This window comes from Homo sapiens, chromosome 7 (assembly GCF_000001405.40).
Source record: "Homo sapiens chromosome 7, GRCh38.p14 Primary Assembly".
In the NCBI taxonomy this organism is placed as follows: domain Eukaryota; kingdom Metazoa; phylum Chordata; class Mammalia; order Primates; family Hominidae; genus Homo; species Homo sapiens.
The window spans coordinates 83,954,076-83,974,088 of NC_000007.14; the positions used below are offsets into that span (position 1 = coordinate 83,954,076).

Here is a 20,013-nt window from a genome sequence, read left to right on the forward strand (position 1 = left end):
TCCTTTTTCTCTATTTCCATACAGCATGGCATCTTAAATTATATTTACATTAACTAGTTATCTTTCTGGAAACACAGGTAATCGTAAATCATACTTGAATTAGAACTTTATGTCTATCGCTTTTGATCATGTGAATTGAGCAGTTAGTTATTCAACCACTCTGTACTTCAGTTTCTTTATTGATATAATAAGGATAAAATAGGATTTTTTGAGTTGTTTTAATAATTAAAGTAATACAAATAAAGCACTTGATAAAGAAAACAGTATGTTGTAAACACTTGATATTACTATCATTACTAATATGACTACTACGACTATTACTATATCCATTGTATGACACATCATGTTAAATGTTGTGTTTCCTGTTCTTCAATAGATTGTGAGTTTCTCAAAGTCAAAGGCTAATTCTCACTCACCATAGAAAACTCAAGTACAGTATGTTGTGCCAGATCCTCAGGCTGTGTGTCCTACTTCATATGAAAAGGCCCACGTGATATCATAAAAATATTTAGACTATAATATCTAAAAACACAATTAATATAAAAATACGTAGTGAATATAATATCTAAAAACACAATGAATATAAAAAATGTAACGTTACTAGCACCAGGCAGTAACTTTAGCAGTTTAGGATGTATTAATGCTTCCATACGTCTGCTTATGTTTTTATTTAATATTATATTATTGAATTAAAATTAATACAGTGCAGTGTATTACAAAGAGTTTCTGCTTTGGGCTTATTGATATACATTTTATAAATTATATAAATATTTCCTTCTAGAAGTTCAAGAATATTACTTCTCAATAATGAATATAGAGCTTCCTGATATGACATAATTTTTAGAAACATTGTCTCAGGACCAAGAGGAGATTAGAAGAAGAAGACCAGTATGGTCACAGTTGCAAATTACATTCCAATCTTCACTGAGGGGAAGAGGACATGCTACCTTTTGAATGATAAGTGATTTTGCCATCTAGAGTACTTGTTGATTTTTTGTTTGTTTGTTTTTGTTTTGGATTCTAGAGGGGTCAGGAAGTTAAAGAAGAAACCCAAACAATGTAATGTTTCTAAAGTTAATGACTAATGACTACATAATTGTTTTGATCAAAATAGAATAATCCTGGGATAAGTATTCTCTTATGTTTTGAGTAAATATTTAAAGAATTCAATAAACTCCTTGACAGTATTCTTTTCCATATGGATAACAGATTATTTTTGTGATGCTAATATTCATTGGGTAATAATTCAAACCACTTCTGAAGGCAAATACAATAAAAATAATTTCAACAGGCATGCTATTAGGGTCAAAAGTTCTGCAAGGAAGAAAATGAGCAATGATTCTGAAATTAGTAGATGGCAACAATGCAAATTGGATACTTAGCTAGACCATTATTCATCAGTATCTAAATTTAAATGGAATATATTGAATGGCATACACAGACCCAGACTTAAACTGAGTTTTTCACATTTATCAGCAATTTAAAATACTGCATGAGTAAAATACAAATATTTGAGGGCTAATAAAACTGTCAATCTTTTTTGAAGGATGAAAATCCCTAAAAATTGTGGTGTATTTAAAAAATTCCTGATGTGGCTGTTTGATTTTAGATGAAAACTTTGTCTAAAAATGTTTAAGCTTCTCTGGAATTAGTTATCAACAAAACAAACAAAACATTAAGAACTGAGCTACACAAATGACATGGATATTTTACAAATGTATTTACTTGAGATCTAATGCTTCAGTGAGATTTACAAAGAGAGAAGACGGAAGTTGAGCCTTCACATTACCTGAATTGTGATGACATGAACACATCTATAAAAACTTTTGCTTAGGTCCTATATAAATAAACATTGTATATACAAGTATAGTGTTTAGATTAAAAGAAAGAAAATCCATTCTTTTGTTATATGAGAAAAACATGACAGATTAATACAACGGTGGTGCGGGGTTGACATATTCAAGATGAAGGTGGGTCTCATTTTTTAAAAAACTTTTTTGGTTTGTTTGTTTAAAATAATAGGAGTCTGCCTATCAACTACATGTGCTGACCACACCTGCAGCATTGCTTGGCCATGAATTACTCCATCTAAGGTATGCCTTGAACAAATGCAGACTTCACATTTTAATGCTATCTTTGCTGAAGTCTTGTTTGTGAGCCACCTTGCTTTTTAGCAAGGCAATGTTGGAACTCATTGCTGAGTAGTCTAATGCTAGCTGAGTGAGGTAAGGCTGTAGGTAGGTGAAATGTAACAGAAACTTTCGTTTGAACTGAGAGCATAGGGGAGTGTCTGATGAAGTTAGCTTCCTCTAAATATTTATTTGTAGAATTCAGAGTTTCAGCTGACCTGTGCTGGTTTGAACTAGAGGAGAGATTATGAAATACAGATGAGTTTGAAGACGGTTGTGGGAACACTGTCTAGTGCTATGACTTTAGCTGAGTAAAGATAAATGAGGTGAACATTAAGAAGGAAGGTAAAGAGATTGTGGGGTGGAAGTGTAGGAGGCTGAATGTGTGACATATGACAGTCTGTGCCAAGGATGCGAATGTGGGGTACAAACAGAGGGCAATAAATCAAAACCCAGGAAAAAGCAAATGCACCATTTTGACTCATAGTAGTGGGACATTTAACTTTTCTTTATGAAACCTGTGTTTTATCTGTTTGAATGCTTGTTCTCAGAAAAAGGACTTTTTTTCACACCTCTCCTCCTTTCTCCTTATTTCTTCTACTCAGATTGCCATTTTGTTTCTTCATCTAGGCATATCTGACTGATTCACAGCTGGAAAGTCACTTATTCTCTGAAGCACCCCATGATCTCTCTCCACAAGTTAATTCCTCCTTTTTTTTTTCTTTGATCCATACCGCTCTTATTGTGAGCTTGTATTTGGCAATTGTCATATCGTAACTTGGTTCTTTTCAACAGTGATTTATTGGGCTCCCTCTTTGTGCCAGGCATCATGCTAGACACTGGGGACAGAGATCAATTAGATACAAATCCTGCCCTCAAGGAGCTCACAGTCTAGAAATGGAGATGGAAACATAAACAAATAAATCACACATTGGGGTAGTGTGACAATAAAAGGTATATACAAGGCACAGGTTTAGCATAGAGAAGGTCCCTAGCTTGAACTAGGGATGGGAGGATTAGGAAAGACTTGCTGGATTAGATGATGATAAGTCATCTCGCTCTGTTTCCTTAATTTCATTGTGAGCTCTTTGAGAACAAGGGTTATGTCTTATTCACTTTAGTGTCCTCATCACCTAACATAATACCTAGCACATTGTAGATAGTCAAGATCTATCAGTGGAATTTACTTGAACGTGTAGGAAGCTGGTTCTAAAAGGCAAAGTGTCTAGAGGCCCAGTTTTTTAATATTCAAAATCTTCTTTTTGTTTGGTTTGGTTCCAGCTTTGCCTCTGCCTGTGTGTGCCTGCATGTTTGAAATGATAACAAAGCTGTTTTCCTTGGTTACGTTGATTGCGAAACTGTCCTTACTATATGGGCTGTCACATATGCTGATTTTATTCTCTCTTTCATTTAGATATTTTCTTAATTTATTAACTTGAAAAATTATGTTCATTTAATTAACTAGTTTAAGAAAATTTTTAGAGATCAAACAAACTAATGAGATTTTACAGATTTTTGAAAAATAATGTTTTCTTCTTTATGGAAACATGTATTTGCAAACATTAACATTGACTTCAAATAATTATTACAAATCAAGTTAAAAGTATAGATGTCCTTGGTGTTAGACCAGTTTAACATGTTATTACACGATACGGGGGTGTTGAATCCTATTTAAGTCTGTCTTTGAAACCATGAAACCTGATACAGTTTCATTAAATTGAATGGAAATTGTGTTTTAAAATGAGCTAATAAAACAAAGATTTTAACATATTATACTAGTGGCTCCATATTAATAAAATGCTTGTCTGTGACCTTTAAGATAAGCAATTTCAATAACAGTCATCTGACATCTTTGTGGATCCTGAATAAAACCAAACTGATTATGAAAATGACACATTATAAAAATTTATCCCTACATTTCCTTTTTAGGTATGACATTAAAAAGAACAATACTTAATTTAAAGGGCATAAAAATTCACATCATCACCATAAATATAGAACCCAGTTTACAGATGACTACAATGAAGAAATCTGTTAGCTAATTATGTAGCAACCTGACTCTGGTTCTCAACATTTTATGAGCTTATGTTCCTTAACACCATATGTTATAGGGAACAGTAAAGACATCTGAATTCAAATATTTTGAAGAAATGTGTATTTAGCAAGTGAATACATGCTAAAAGGAATAATTTACAGCAGCAGTTTCATTACATTTTTCTCTCCAGTTTTTCTAGTTCCCATCTGAAATGCAATGATAAGTAAAGATATGGAACATATTTCCTACCTGGCAAAAAACATGCTTATTGAACGGGCACGCACCTTCCGCCCTTAAATAGTACATAAACCACCTTGTCACCTGCGTGGGAAAATCTTGCCTTTTAGGATGATGTTGAACACATTGAAATGGAGTACTTATAGAAAGTTTTATTTTACACTGTTCTTCCTCTTTTTCTCCCAAATTATTTACATCTTTTTTTTGCCTAATGTGTAGGTAGCAAAAATATTAAACACATACCACTGCAAATTACTAAATAATACATAAAATGAAGTGTGCATTTACATGCATTTACATTTTACATTTGATATCAACTGGGCCATAATGTCTCTGCTGTGATGCATCTTTTTCATACTTTAAGACTGCTGTTGTAATTTTCGTAAGGTCACATGAGTCTCTCAAACAGTTTCATCTCTGATGATTCATGCATATGACAAAGTCTATTTAAAGCTGAATTATTAAATGGGCCAATAATTCTTTTTCGTGCAAACTGCCCCCTCTCAATACACATGGGCAGAGATTATGACTGTAATGAGTTATCTGCAAGTTATATCTACAATTTTCTTTGAAAACTTAGACCTGATGGTATATAAAGACATGCCTGTAGATTTGTTTGTTTGTGTAACTTTTAATTGAAGTCGAGACTTTTTTCTATTGTCATTTCATAACACTAAACAAAATGCATTCAAATTCTGAAAGTCTTCTATAAATTTATCATATAATCTCTATCCCTTCAAATCCTTTATTTCTGAGGATGAATAATAAGATATTTCTGCTATCGCAAATAAATTTATTTCAGCTGCAAATTTAGAATGAAACACAACACTGAATGTTAGTACAGTTTAGATACTTTATGAAAATAAAAGAATGACCTATTTTTTGGAGCACTCTTTGTTCTTCGATTTATATTTGAAACACTACTTTCTGTACAGTGGTGTGTCCTTCAAATAATTTAACAATTTGGCTTCCATGTGAGGATATACAGTACTTCCAAAAGCAACACCATATTAGTCAATGGAGCCTAAAATTGAATGTAGATTATTTTTAGGCTTTTGTTTGAAACAAGTGGCAACAACTTGTTTATTCAAGGCAGTCATTAAAACTGAAACATGAGCTTCCATCTGTGAAATATTTCAGCTGATAGGAAATAAAAATTCACTGTAGTCTGAGGTGAGAAATTGATGCTGAGTTAATTAGAATCCAAAGACAGCTAGAGTTAGAATTTCAATGTTGCTTCATTAATTACTAATAAGATGTTTTCTTTGCATTTTTGTGCATGATGAGGAACCTGGGGGAGGAGTCCTGAATAGGTGAGTGCAGTGCAAAAGAAACCACAGTATAATGCTGAAAGTTTTAAATATCTCAAAGTCAGTGATTCTCAACGAATCGTCTTAGGACAATGAAGGAAGCAAATCTTGAATTTTAGTCTTTTACCTTATTTTGTAAGTTGTTGCAGGAAACAAAGAATTTTACATTGTTTAAATGTGGGTTGCATCCTGGAAAATACTTTGTAGAAAAGTCCCTCCCATTGATATGAAAAGAGTCATGTGTTTCTTGTACAAATAATTGTCTTAAATAAGGAAAGGTAAGAGGCACCTGATACAGATGTAAATGATTGGAAACTTTGCCTTTAACATGTTGCTCTGAATAGTTATTGATCTCTCTCTTTTAAAAAAATTAAGTGACACAGATATAATTCTTGGTAGAATCATAAGAGAGATCTTAGTCTCAAATATCATGCAGGGATTCAAGCACGGAATTAAGACACATTTTCTATTAACAGTATATTAAGACAATGCTTATTATTTTCATGAAATATGCAGTTCCTTTTCCCTTCATTGATTCATTATAGTAAAATGCACTTAAAAATCAACTTGTTTCTTCCTTTTTTCCTGCTTAAATGTTCTGTTTTTTTTTCTAAGAACATTATGCAAGTAAAAATTAATTTAGATAATGCTTAAAGAAGGGGAGGTGTGAACAGCTTCCATTTGTTTGATTTTCTCAGAGAAATAAAGCATAATTTATATCCTGGTTTTAGAGATTCACTCTTAATGATGTATATGTGTTTCTAGAACAATGTCATCTATCCCTCTTATAGAATTGAAAATAAAATGTCCAAAGAAAGCAGCACACCATTGGAATTTTTAAAACAAAAACTACATAGCACAATAATTGTAAGACAAATCCTACTCTAGCTTAGAAAACAACTAATTTTTACTGCATATTTTTCATGGTACATTTAAATTATAGTTTTAATAAAATACATCTTTAGATCAAAGCTGAAAGAAGACATCAGTAGTAGATCAGTGTATTCCATTTTTCTTCTGGATGATGGATGGCTTATGTTTTTTTTTTTTTTTAATATTTCCACAGAACATTTCATTCAGTATCATTTTACTCATTTTACTCCTCAAGTACATACAAACATGAGGGCCGGTAGACAAAATATATCCTTGAATCCAACCACGTTTTGGAATATTCATCAGCTTAGTAAATCCATGCAGTTCATTTTAAACTTTTAGTTCAATACAATGGCTTTGCTGATGCAGTTTTTCTCCTTTAGATGGCAATATGGCAAATGACATTTTTATTTCTCAGGCAAAGAAGAAAGACAAACCTGTACAGTGAAATCTCATAGGAAACATTAAGTCTGCTAAAGTGAACATCTGCATTCACCTGTGTTCTCTGTTAGGTGGTGGTATTAGGAAAAAAAGCCTATTAGGAAAGTTACTCATGGATTTAATTTATAATTGGTGGAACTCAGCTGAATTTCCCACCATTGTAAACATCCACATAATGCCATGAAAAAAGTTCATGTATATTGCATTTGTTTTTCCAGTTATTGTCTAGGCAAGTTTCTACTTGTTTGAGGTTTCTAGAGGTAATGCAGCTCAGACACTCCTGGGTGCCCTCTCAAATTCGTGGGTCCTCCTGTTTCTACCTTTCTTATTTTCTTGTAAGTGCTTCCATTTGTTACTGTTCCCTGGGGTATGTCCTGGCCTTTGCCGACGTTGTTTTCGGTCCCTTTTCCAAACTTGTTCACAGAACTCATCCATTGTGTTGAGATTGGGGTGGTTGATGAGCTGCATGAAGTCTCTGTACCAGACCTTCTGGCTAGGTGTCATGCTATTGGACATTTCTTTGGTCTTAGAGCCATCTCCATCATCATCTTTATGAAGAAGTTCTTCCAAATGCTCTGTGTCAATGACTTCCAGGGTTACCTTAAGAAGAGTTTGTATGAACCCATGTTCCACCGCATGGCAGAGGTAATTGCCTGAATCCTTCTGTTGTAGACTACGTAGCAGAAGGCCTTGATCTGTCCTGATGATATGATCATCCACTCTGATCTAGCAGGTTAAAAAAAAGGCAGTGTAAAATATACATATTTAAAAGAAATAGAAGCTCTGAAACTCCGTGTCTGTAAAACTTTAGATTATGTGTTGAGGCACATTTTAACAGTTAATAAAAATTTTTAATTTAAGAGAAGTGATAGCATTTTCCCATTAGGAGAATTATAATATCTGTCAATTGTTTTTAAGATGTATTGGAAAGTATTGGTTATATTACTGTTTTAATAGAATTTCTTATAATAATTTAAAATATTCAAGGTAACTGGAGGAAAGAGCAAAGATACTTTATACATTTGAAAGTAGGTATATAAATATAGGATAAAGTTAACATTAAATATTGAAATTAGAACTACAGAACCATGATACTAGAAAGATACGGGGCATTAGAATGAATTTATAATAAGATTTCCAAAAATTAAATTTTAAAAAAATAGAAGTTGAACAAGCAGAACATTTCATGCTTACTAATTATTTATTTCATTTAGTTGGTCTTGAATGGGAATATATATGAGACCATATTTTTGAATATTTGTAACCTCACTTTTATTTTGAATACAGTTTACAATAGAGGTCTCAAAAAGCCTCACCTGGTAATGCATGAAATCAATCTTGCATTTTATGATGGGATTATATAGTTTTAAGACTGATTAAAATGTCAAAAGATAATGGAAGAGTTTTTACCTTTAACATCATATTATGTTTGTAAAATCGTCTGCATATAATACATTTTATTAATCAACTCAATAATCTGTTTATGCTTATTTAAGGCTGTTAAAAAGTTTTAAAGGCTCGTAGTGCTCACTAAGATTTTCTGTATACAATTCTTTACTCTTATGGAATTATAAATGGATCAAATGAGCAGGGAGATCTGCCTCATCCTGCATCAATAGTTGATATCAGAGCTTATAGTGCAGCCTTAAATCCATCACCCTACATCTACTACTATCTTTTCCCAACCTCCCTTCCCCATTTAAGGAGGAAGGTAATGGATAAAGAAAAACAGATTTTGATAATATAATTAATTGAACAAAATTTAAAATTAGTAGGAGGTTTTTTTTTATTTGTGCACAAATATAAATAACACAATTTCTTTGTAGATAAACACAGTAAGAAATAAGGGGAGTCTAATATGTATCCCCAAACTGCTTCTGGGGCAGAAACTCTTACCAGGTTACCTTTGTTTCTCTAATTCATAGTACAAAGTCTGTCACGTCATCAGTCTGCACTAAACACTTGTTCAATGAATGAGCGATTGATTGGTTCAGAAGAGGATAAGCATTCTCAGTGCTTTTTCTTTCCTCAAGTGAAAAATACAAGGATTACATTTAACAGTGTATCTTAGATATAAATGATCCAGTCAGTTTCATTCCTGTACCTCTTCTTTTCGCTCTTCATTTCGCCTCTGGAATTGCCAATAGACCAGCGCTCTCTGCGACTTCGGACTGCATTCCAAAAATGTGCTACTATTCTCTACACCATAGATGATTCTCTCTTCAGGGCTGTGGCCATGGTGATTATCTGGCCAGTGATGAGAAAATGCAATGAGAAAATATTAGAGAAGTAATTTCAACTTTCCAAAGTTTTTATTTGGAAATTCAGGAGACAAGTTATTGCCAAGTTGGAAGTTGTTTCACATTGATTGAGGATGACAGAAATGTCAGTGATGTAAGGTTTCAGAGCCCAAATGCCTACCTAAATCGACTAATCATTTTGGTATGGGTTATATAAAACATAGACGGAGATTTGTCTACCAGAAAATGGCATTACATTTACAAAATCAATCATGTGTGTAGCATAACTATACGTCTTTATATGTCATGATAAATACTCTACAGGAAATTATTTTCACTGCAAAACTCTGTGCTTGGACTAATAGGGCCAGTTTGTATTATATTATTCTGTAACACAAAAAGTTATTGGAATAAGTTTTTGGAAACAAGGATGTATTTCAGAGAAATTATTTTGCCTGTGTGTTTATTTTTTATCTGTAAAATTAAATTTGCCAACTAATATTTATCTAGCATTTTACAGAAGGTAGAGTGCAGGAAGTTTATACTATCCACCAATAATTCCTAAATAATCTACAAGTTTGTTCTGAAGATCAATTGGTGTGAAAAGTTAGGGATGGCTTTGAAAAACAGATGCATAGTTATAATGCAATGTGGTTTCAATTGTTCTTATTTTAAAATGACACATCTTTCATTATTTTCAGGAATTAGGCTATGGAATAAGGCAAAAGTACATAATAAAATGCAGCAAAAAGAAAACCTGTTTCCTGATTAAGTTTCTATTATTTTACCCTTTATGTAACCTCCTCCAATGTGGTAAATGAAACACAGCTCAGATCAAAAGTACAACACAGGGAGTCTAGGTAAAACTCATTTAGAGAACAAAACTCCTTCTTATCTTGCATAATCCTGTTTCCATTATGACATCCTGTACAATCTGAAACTCATTAAATTAATTTAGAAAATAATAAATATGTTTTACATGCACAGAAAGCTGACAGTGTAGACAGATGAAAAATTTTTGCTCTCTACTTCAAACTCAGCTAGATTTTTAATTTAAAAAATGTTTTCCCCTTTTTTGTCATCACTTTGACAGTTTTACTCTTGTCATAATCAACTGAATACCTTTGACTGTCATAGCTGATGATTTGCTCTCACTAGGTTTAAAGCCTTCAAAAATGCTACTCCCATACAATCCCTGTACAAGGCCTGTGTCTATCATCTCCTACCCTCATCATACCCTACCTACTTCATTCCACCTTCTACCTTCAATTGCTGTCTACAGAGGTGTCAACCTCAGTGCCTGTTTCTCAAATGCCCTAGGTGTGAAACAAAACTCTTCCAATATTGGGAATTATCTGTCTCTTATTGAAAAGATCAATGCCCTGGAAATAGGAAAATAAATCAGAAATGATTGCAATGTAAAGAAATAATATTTAACTGATTCCAAGTCACATTTAAAAAAAATTGGACATGCATATCTTCATGTGCCAATATCTATATTGTATAGGCTGTTTTTTTTTCCCCTCTGAGATTATTAGTGCGTCTTGAATTGAATGCATATGGAACATGTTGCTATACTCATTTGTAAGATAGCTGCTTCCTGGGATACAGGTGAATTTAATTGCTATGGCCAACAGGGGCTGGAAAATCTGTAATTCAGGAGCTACCTGAATAATTAGAATGCATTGTCACAGAAGTTAATGCTATTTACATTGAATACTTTTTTTTCTAACTGTTCTGTGATTTAAACTTTTTTGTATTTTTTTTTTTTTGTATTTTTAGTAGAGATGGGGTTTCGCCATTTTAGCCAGCATGGTCCCGATCTCCTGACCTCGTGATCCGCCCGCCTCGGCCTCCCAAAGTGCTGGGATTACAGGCATGAGCCACCGCGTCCGGCCCGTTTAAACTTTTCTTTATTAAGAAATACTTTTAGGAGGAGACCTTTCATTCAATCTCTATATATGAATGAATTATATATGACATCAAAATATAGAAAAATCCACTGGATTTAGAAACAAACAACCCAGTGATCTGCCAGCATCTCCTTTATCAACAGCCATGTCTCCTAGGTCTATTTTCCCAGGTAGAAATTTATAACTGCAACTGACTTGTCTCTTGCATAATCTGCTAAAGCTACTAAAGAAAACTATGGTATAAATTACTACTCTCAAAGATAGAATTTCATATAAATCCTTCAATACATTAATTGACTCAGATAAGAGGAGTCACGTAACTAGTATAATAGAAAATAAAAGTGTTTCAATACCAATGTAACACCAATGGGTGCATATATATATATATATATATATATATATATATATATATATTTTTTTTTTTTTTTTTTTTTTTTTTTTTTTTGAGACGGAGTCTTACTCTGTCTCCCAGGCTGGAGTTCAGTGGTGCGATCTCGGCTCACTGCAAGCTCCGCCTCCCGGGTTCATGCCATTCTCCTGCCTCAGCCTCCCAAGTAGCTGGGACTACAGGTGCCTGCCACCACGCCCAGCTAGTTTTTCGTATTTTAATAGAGGCAGGGTTTCAACGTGTTAGCCAGGATGGTCTCGATCTCCTGACCTCGTGATCCGCCCACCTCAGCCTCCCAAAGTGCTGGGATTACAGGTGTGAGCCACCGCGCCCAGCCACCAATGGGTGCATTAAAAAAAAATCACTTAGTTGTCTTCTTTCTAACTAATTTAATCATTCTAGTTAGTCCACAGAGATAATTTTCTGGTAATCTTTCTTGTAGTTCTAGGTAACTGCTCAGTTTTCATTTCCTCTTCAGGACATCCTCTGGTGGTGGCAAGCTTTTTCCAATGTACCAGAAAACATGTAAAAATAGTTCTTTCAATAGAAAATATTCTTTTATTAAAAAATTATTTCATTTGATCTGCTACTTCTTCATAGTGGAATCTAGACTATAGACTATAGTCTTATAGACTTATAGACTATAAGATGGTGTTTGATTTAGCAATTATGATAACAAATTGTTTTTAGTTTAATATACTAATATTTCACTCTCTTCAAGAAACATTCTGATATTCAGGTACTTTCTCACCTAAATAAGGCAAGAACCACAATAGGTTAATTTGGTTTATGAGCTTGGTGCCCTTAGTAAGTTTGCTTTGATAACTACTCTTGCCAGTACCTCAAAGTCTCATTATTTCCCAAGTTTACCCTTTCTTTCCCCTTTTTGTCCAACAAAAAGAAACAGAATCATCCAGCTAGTGACCGGTGAGGCTAAAAGCCCTGTCATGTTAACTATCAATCACGATCAAGATACAGCGATACTATTGTATTTCTTTGGTTTAAGATTCTCCTATTTTATATTTTGTTAGGTTCTGCTGCGATCAGCAATAATTATTAAAAGTAAATTTTTTTTCTTTTTTTTTTTGAGACGGAGTTTCCCTATTGTTGCCCAGGCTGGAGTGCAATGGCGTGATCTCGGCTCACGGCAACCTCCGCCTCCCGGGTTCAAGCGATTCTCCTGCCTCAGACTCCCTAGTAGCTGGGATTACAGGCATGCGCCACCACGCCCAGCTAATTTTGTATTTTTAGTAGAGACAGGGTTTCTCCATGTTGGTTAGGCTGGTCTTGAACTCCCGACCTCAGGTGATTCGCCCGCCTCGGCCTCTCAAAGTGCTGGGATTACAGGCATGAGCCACCGCGCCCGGCCAAAAGTAAATTTTTATTGGATACAGTTATTTCTATTAAGTCTTCTGCCACAGGATGTTTCTACCATCAGCAGCTTCTGACTTAGGAACAGAACTTTTATTTAAAATGGCCTCAGCCAAGCACCCATCTATTTGGGTGTTCAGAAGTAAAAAATTTTCTGTTAATTTCCCCTAACCTGACATCTTATAAACAGATACCTAATCAATATTTTAAAATAATAATTAGAAGGCATTCAATAAATATCCTTTCCATTTCCTGAGTGCTCTACCGCAACCACTGGCATAAATTTTGTACAATATAGGAAACATTAGAAATCCATTAACAATGTGTTCTATCTCCCTCCAGCCCCCTTCTCTCCCCAGCTCCAGAAAAAAGTACGAACAGAAATAATATTTCGGTTCCTATCTTATAACCTTATTAAGTTCTTCACTTTTTCTTGGGATGTCAAACATACTGTCAATTTTGCCGGGCATGGTGGCTCACGCCTGTAATCCCAGCACTTTGGAAGGCTGAGGTGGACGGATCACTTGAGGTCTAGGGTTCAAGAACGGCCTGGCCAACATGGTGAAACCCCATTTCTACAAAAATACAAAAAATTAGTGGGGCATAATGGCGGGTACCTACAATCCCAGCTACTCTGGAGGCTGAGGCAGGAGAAGCGCTTGAATCTGGGAAGCGGAGGTTGCAGTGAGCCAAGATCGACCCATTGCACTCTAGCCTGGGTGACAGAGCAAGACTCAGTCTCAAAACAAACAAACAAAAAACTATCAATTTTAAAAATTTTGTTTTGTTTATAATTGGCACATAATATATGTACATATTTATAGGGTACAGTGTGATATTTCAATACATGTATACATTGTATAATGATCAAATCAGGGTAATTACCTTATCCATCACTTTAAACATTTATCATTTCTTTGTGGTGACATGTAAAATCCTCTAGCTATTTTGAAATATATACTACTTTATTATTTGCTATAGTCCCCCTACTGCATGCTATCAATTTGATTCTTTATTAAAGCAAACAGCCGTACATATAAATGGCAGCACAGTATAGCTCTACTCTAGGTACTTTTCAGAGAGTATAATATTTAATTCATGGTTATCCAATATAAACAAAAACTCAACTAAGGAAATATTGGTGAGTACATATTTTCTGAAAGATATGAAATCTTATATATTGAGGATAAGAGTGATATAAAATCTTTTTCTGGATTAAACCAGTTGATCTGAGAGCAGTTTACAAGGAACACACCATGTTAATCACATCGGACAGTTGATTTTATTAAATTGGTTTTGGCAGGGTGTTCCCACCCTATGCTGAGTGAGACCTTTGTCAATTCTCCCTTATTCACTGTATTGATGTCACAATATTTTTGATATGATATTGATTGCATTACAGTGTTTACTCTATGTTTACTTTTGGAAAATTTTTCTTTCTGGTTTTACTTTCTAGAAATTATTGAGATTCTCGTGAACAACAGATTCTTTTATTTTGAAATGGACTTTGTGATCATACTTCCATCTACATTGACTGAAAAAAAGCAGTTAGACAAATGTATGTCTTACCCTTATAACTTCTTGGTAAATATTCTTGCCGCATGTCTGTCTTTGTTCTCTCTCAGTCTTCTTGCTCTATGTGTGTGACATTGTTGTTATTTTTATCTTATCTTTATTTTTACCAAACAATTGCAACTCATCTTTTATATGTTAGATAGGTCATTTAGCAAATTTTAGACAGTGAAATATTTTTATAACCCTTTTTTTTCTTTGTTTCTTTTCTTTTCTTTCCTTTTTTTTTTTTTTTTTTTTTTTGGAGAAAGAGTCTCACTCTCTCACCCAGGCTGGAGTGCAGTGGCACGATCTCGGCTCACTGCAACCTCCGCCTCCCAGGTTCAAACAATTCTCCTGCCTCAGCCTCCAGAGTAGCTGGGATTACAGGTGCCTGCCACCACAGCTGGCTAATTTTTATATTTTTAGTAGAGATAGGGTTTTACCATGTTGGCCAGGCTTGTCTCAAACTCCTGATCTCAGGTGATCCGCCTGCCTCAGCCTCCCAAGGTGCTGGGATTACAGGCATGAGCCACTGCACCAGTCTTTTATAACCCTTTCTATTGTTGTTCTTAAAATATACTTGTACAAAAGTCTTAGCACAATATCTGGGCACAGCAATAGTCATAAACATGTCAGGTGACATCATTATTACTGCTATTATGATAGATTCAACTGCTAATTAAATCTTAAAATCCTTTATTGAGAATCCAAATGAAGACAAATTACACTCCTCAATGTGAATCCTACTCCCCTACAACCATCAAAGAAATATTTCCTCTTCTATATTGCCAAAAAAAATCTCTTTTTAGTTATCTCCTTAGAGTATGTGTAGTTATATTTGTTACAATTATTTTTAATCTGGTTTATTCCCCTGGCCCACCACACTGTGTATTCATAATCCTGGCAGAATGGTAATCGTAAACGCTTAGCTGATGTTTGCTAAATGGCAAATCCAGGTAACACATTGAATTTAAAACCTGAAATCTCATGTAACTTTGACATCCTCAAGACATAGAGTTATCATAATTATATAAAAGAAATGAATAAAAGTTTAATCAATCAAAAAGAAAATAGAGTTTATAACCCTGATTATGATGGAATACTTTATTGAACTGCTGGAGGATGTAAGCATTTCAAATATTCTAAATTTGTTAAGTTTAATAATGTTATAAAAATTGACTTGAGAGAGGGTGGGAGATAATGATGACTAATCATGTCTACTCCAAAATCAAAAATTCCAAATAGGGAATAATAAGAAGAGAAAGAGAACTGAGAAGTCATATGAGTATCTTCTCACATCTCCAAGGATACCTATATCACTAAAGGATGTCATGTAATAGATAATTTTGTGGGCTTCCAGAAAGAAAGCAATCTCATTTTAAATCATTTCTAAATAAATTTCACACTTAGAAAGCAACTGTTTTGCATACAAACTTTTGTCATGAAAATTGCGAGTAGAAAAGAAGGGTATCCTTGTTAAATTGGCATAATGATTCCCCACGGGTTCAACCATCTGAATGGTTAGAACAAAATAATTGAGAGCAACAAAACATTAAAATTATTTTAAAAGCACCACAGTGTGTTTGGATAACACAATGTTTCAATATGTTGCAGCTGTTAATGACAAGAAATAATGTTTTTAAGGAAGCAATCTTCAATTAATCATTTCCTCTTTTAGTGGGATAATTTATGGAAATGAAATGAAGCTAATAAACCAGAAAGAATGGGAGGAAAGAAAATAGTTAAATAAATTGCTTCCTTTTGTAACAACAAAAAAGTCATGATATCCATCATTTGACCAGAAATATCATGTTGCTAAAGGCCTTATTTAGCATTTGATTCTCTTCCAATATAGCAGAAACAGAAGGCATCACATTTCAGCTTTCTATTTATTCACTCTCCATTTTAACCCCATAAATGTCTCGCAAGATTGAAATGTTAATAATGCAACCATCTTAGGAAATTTGATGTTATGTAGAGAAGACAGAGATGGATGAGGTTGTGAACCATATTCATTCAATTTTGATTTGTTATCAATTTTGATGTTCTACTTTATTGTAAGTTTAATTTGTAAATAATACATGTAAAACTAAAACATAATTTAGGAGATGGGTAAATGAATGCCAATTATTTTACATATTTATTTAGGTTATTTAGCAAATACAGTTAGTTGCTGTACCACATAAAGACAAATAAAATTCCAGTGGTTTTTATTATAATTTTAGTATTTCTCTCAATAATACTCAGTGTCAAAGGTCAAGAATAGGAGGAAAGGAAATGTTGCCCATAAACTCTTGGTAACACAGAATACTGTAGCAATGCCTAACTTAAAGTATAAACAGCATTACTTAGATTTTTCTCATTGGACTCTACATGATTTTCTGCAGAAATACAATAGATGCTCTATCAGTAGAAAAGACTAATTTAACTTCCAGTGGCTGGAAAACATTTCAAAGATGAGTCAATATCTCTTGAAAATACATAAACTATTTAAAAATTTATAAAATGAAAACAAAAAAATTCATTCATTCTTAACATTCATGTATATTTTGAACCTGAGCATTAAGATGGCTAACAGGCAGGCGTGGTGTTTCACACCTGTAACTCCAGCACTTTGGGAGGCTGAGGAGGGTGGATCACCTGAGGTCAGGAGTTCAAAACCAGCCTGACCAACGTGATGAAACTCCATCTCTACTAGAAAAAGAAAAATACAAAATTAGCTGGGCATGGTAGTGCATGCCTGTAATCCCAGCTACTTGGGAGGCTGAGGCAGAAGAATTGCCTGAACCCGGGACGCAGAGGTTGCATTTTGCAGAGATTGTGCTATTGCACTCCAGCTTGGGCAATAAGAGCGAAACTCCATCAAAAAAAAAAAAAAAACCTAACAAACTATTTAATAATATCATATATTGTAGTGCAAATAAAAGTCTACAGTATATACTGAAGTATATAACAGTGATTTTGTTTACTTTTTGAGGTAATGCCTAGTACAATGTCTTTCCAATGTCTAGTATGACATTTTCACCAATTAGATTCTATGTAAATATTCAATGTGTTTTTGCAGGCATGTATGTGTGCATGTACCAACAAATGAATGCATGAATGTGTAGTTAAGAACATGCATGTGTGCTTAACCCATTTACTAGAAATAGGACCAATAAATATGAAGTTAGTGGATGTAGCTTGCCAAGTACAAAAATACAATGAAACCTTAAATAAAATTTAAACTTGTAATTTTTCACCTGGCTAAAATTTTAATTTTAAACTACTTTGTTTTATGCCCTAAATTAAGATGTCTTTGGTGCTGGGAAGTAATTATTAACCAGGATATAGCATTTAGAATTTTACAGTTTTAAGTAGTTTCTAATCTTTCCTGAATCCATAGATTCCTGAAGATGTGAACTTAAAATTGGCTAGTCTGTGTGTGTGTGTGTGTGTACATATATACGTGTGTGTCTATATATGTGTATGGATGTATATATATACACACACATACATATATATACACATACATATACATAGATATAGGTATGAATATATATACAAATGGTTAAACAGTCATAGGGCCAATATATTTTAATTTTATTATTCATAAATATTTTTTGCAGTAGAGTCACCAGTATCTTACTTTCAGAGATGATTAATTTGAAATATGATAATAAAATTTGCTGTGTGGCTTCAAAGTTAACTTTGAAGCCACTTGAATAGTTACATTGAACACTGTACTTGATGTCTTGTGATGTCATGGGTAATATGCTTCGTATAGGGCAGGCTGAAACTCATTTACTTAAAAAGCAATACCAATATGAAGATATCTACTGTAATATTTATTTAGTTTATACTGAACATCTGGTATGTTTTATTTTCATGATTTTATAGCAAATGCATTACAAAAGAAAGCACAAATAATCTCTATGCCAGAGCAAAATTACCATAGGAATGTTTACTTTAAAAAATCAGGAAACATGGACTTTAATGTTTCATTTACTTTTCCCCAAGAGATATGATGGGAGATGGAAAACACCCATTTGCTGAAGCAGAAACCTTCCATAAACAATAATGAAAATACCATCCTGTATTTTAATGGTATGTGATCCTTATAACTTTTGGAATAAAAAATGCAGCAAGCTTTTAAAAAAATCTTAGTTTGTAACAGTTAAATTGTAGGTGTATGAACAGGTGATCTCTGATGACATACTTAAAGACTTCAATGGAGAATAATGATACGCAAGCTATTTCAAACCTCTTCTTATTCATGTTATCTGTGCATTTGCCTTGCACACATATAATATGAATAATTAGACTTTTTTCCTCAGCAGAAGACAAGTGTCATGATGACTATCTCCAGTGAAAATATTCAAAAAGGGTTTATAAAAATCATAGAAGTTAATACTGCAAGTATTTGATTCTAAGACGCACACTTCTTTATACTTTAATATCTCTGATATCAGAATGTGTCTTACAATTGTTCTTGATCTGAGTTGAAGTTGCTTTTTTCTAGGAGAAATTCTTTCTTACTTCTGACAGATATGTGGGATCCTACTGATATGATACCTCTTTAAATTAAAGTCTCTGTCCGAAATTTGGGTCCATTCTGTTCGTGTGAATTCGGAAAGTAAATCTTCATAAATACCACCTTGTAGTTCAAGGAGTATTTTTTAATCTCTTTCTAACCAGACATGATTATGATTGAAACAGACAATTTTCCTTGCTATTATCATCTGAATAAGAGTTTATTTCTCCTTTAGTCTAGTCCTGAGTCATTTGGTGTCCCAGTTTGATGCTGGGATCATCTAGTAGACTGACCATCTTCAGCAGTTTTTTTTTTCTTAAAAGTACATAAAAGAATGGTGTATTTTATATTATGTCATCTGAGACTTGATGAAATTTGATAATTTATTAAAGGTAGGGATTACTTTTAGGGCTGACATCATGCTCATCTATCAAATATTGAGACTCCTCTTGGGGCTAAATGCTCAGATTCATCACTGGAAGAGGCTAAGACACAGACTATAATAGCACTGCTACAAAATACTAAATTTACAGTTCTACAGATCATAAAGATGGCATTGTCAAAGACATTTTATAAAATTTTGGAATGATTCTGATGCCAACCAAGATATAAATTGAGATGGACAGTTATGGAGATAATTAAGAAGATTGGATTCTGTGGACATATTACTGTGAGGTGCCAGGAAGGTAATGCATGCATGCAAAACTATTAGAAAGTGAAATTCAATGATGGCATTCAACTAGAAGATAGGATATAAAATATTTCAAAGATTCAGAAACCTAACATGATGGTACAGTTAAAAAAAAATTAGTACTGATGGTGTAGTTTTTTTTTTTTTCCTTTCTGGACATGTAAATCATAATATGGCCCATTCTTAGTGAGAAAGAAAATGGGAAGTGGTTTATAGGTAAATTGCCTTCGTCAGTCATTTTCTTGAGTACAAAGTCAGATGAGCTCCAATTTTGTACACAGCAATTATTTTACGGAAGGGAACAGATTGGAAACAACC

The 20,013-nt window shown here is 33.7% G+C and overlaps 1 protein-coding gene across 3 annotated transcripts in view; it reads right to left on the minus strand.

Annotated features, from left to right (window-relative positions):
- Positions 1-1,701: 1,701 nt before the first annotated feature.
- SEMA3A (semaphorin 3A) overlaps positions 1,702-20,013 on the minus strand; it is a 536,949-nt gene continuing 518,637 nt past the window's right edge. For all 3 annotated transcript variants that reach the window (XM_005250110.4, XM_047419751.1, NM_006080.3), the window contains 2 exons: positions 9,130-9,272; positions 1,702-7,751 (listed from right to left, as the gene is read on the minus strand). In XM_005250110.4, the coding sequence (XP_005250167.1) occupies positions 7,296-7,751; positions 9,130-9,272 (599 nt within the window). In that variant the 3' untranslated portion in view covers positions 1,702-7,295. The remainder of the gene's footprint in view (positions 7,752-9,129; positions 9,273-20,013) is intronic.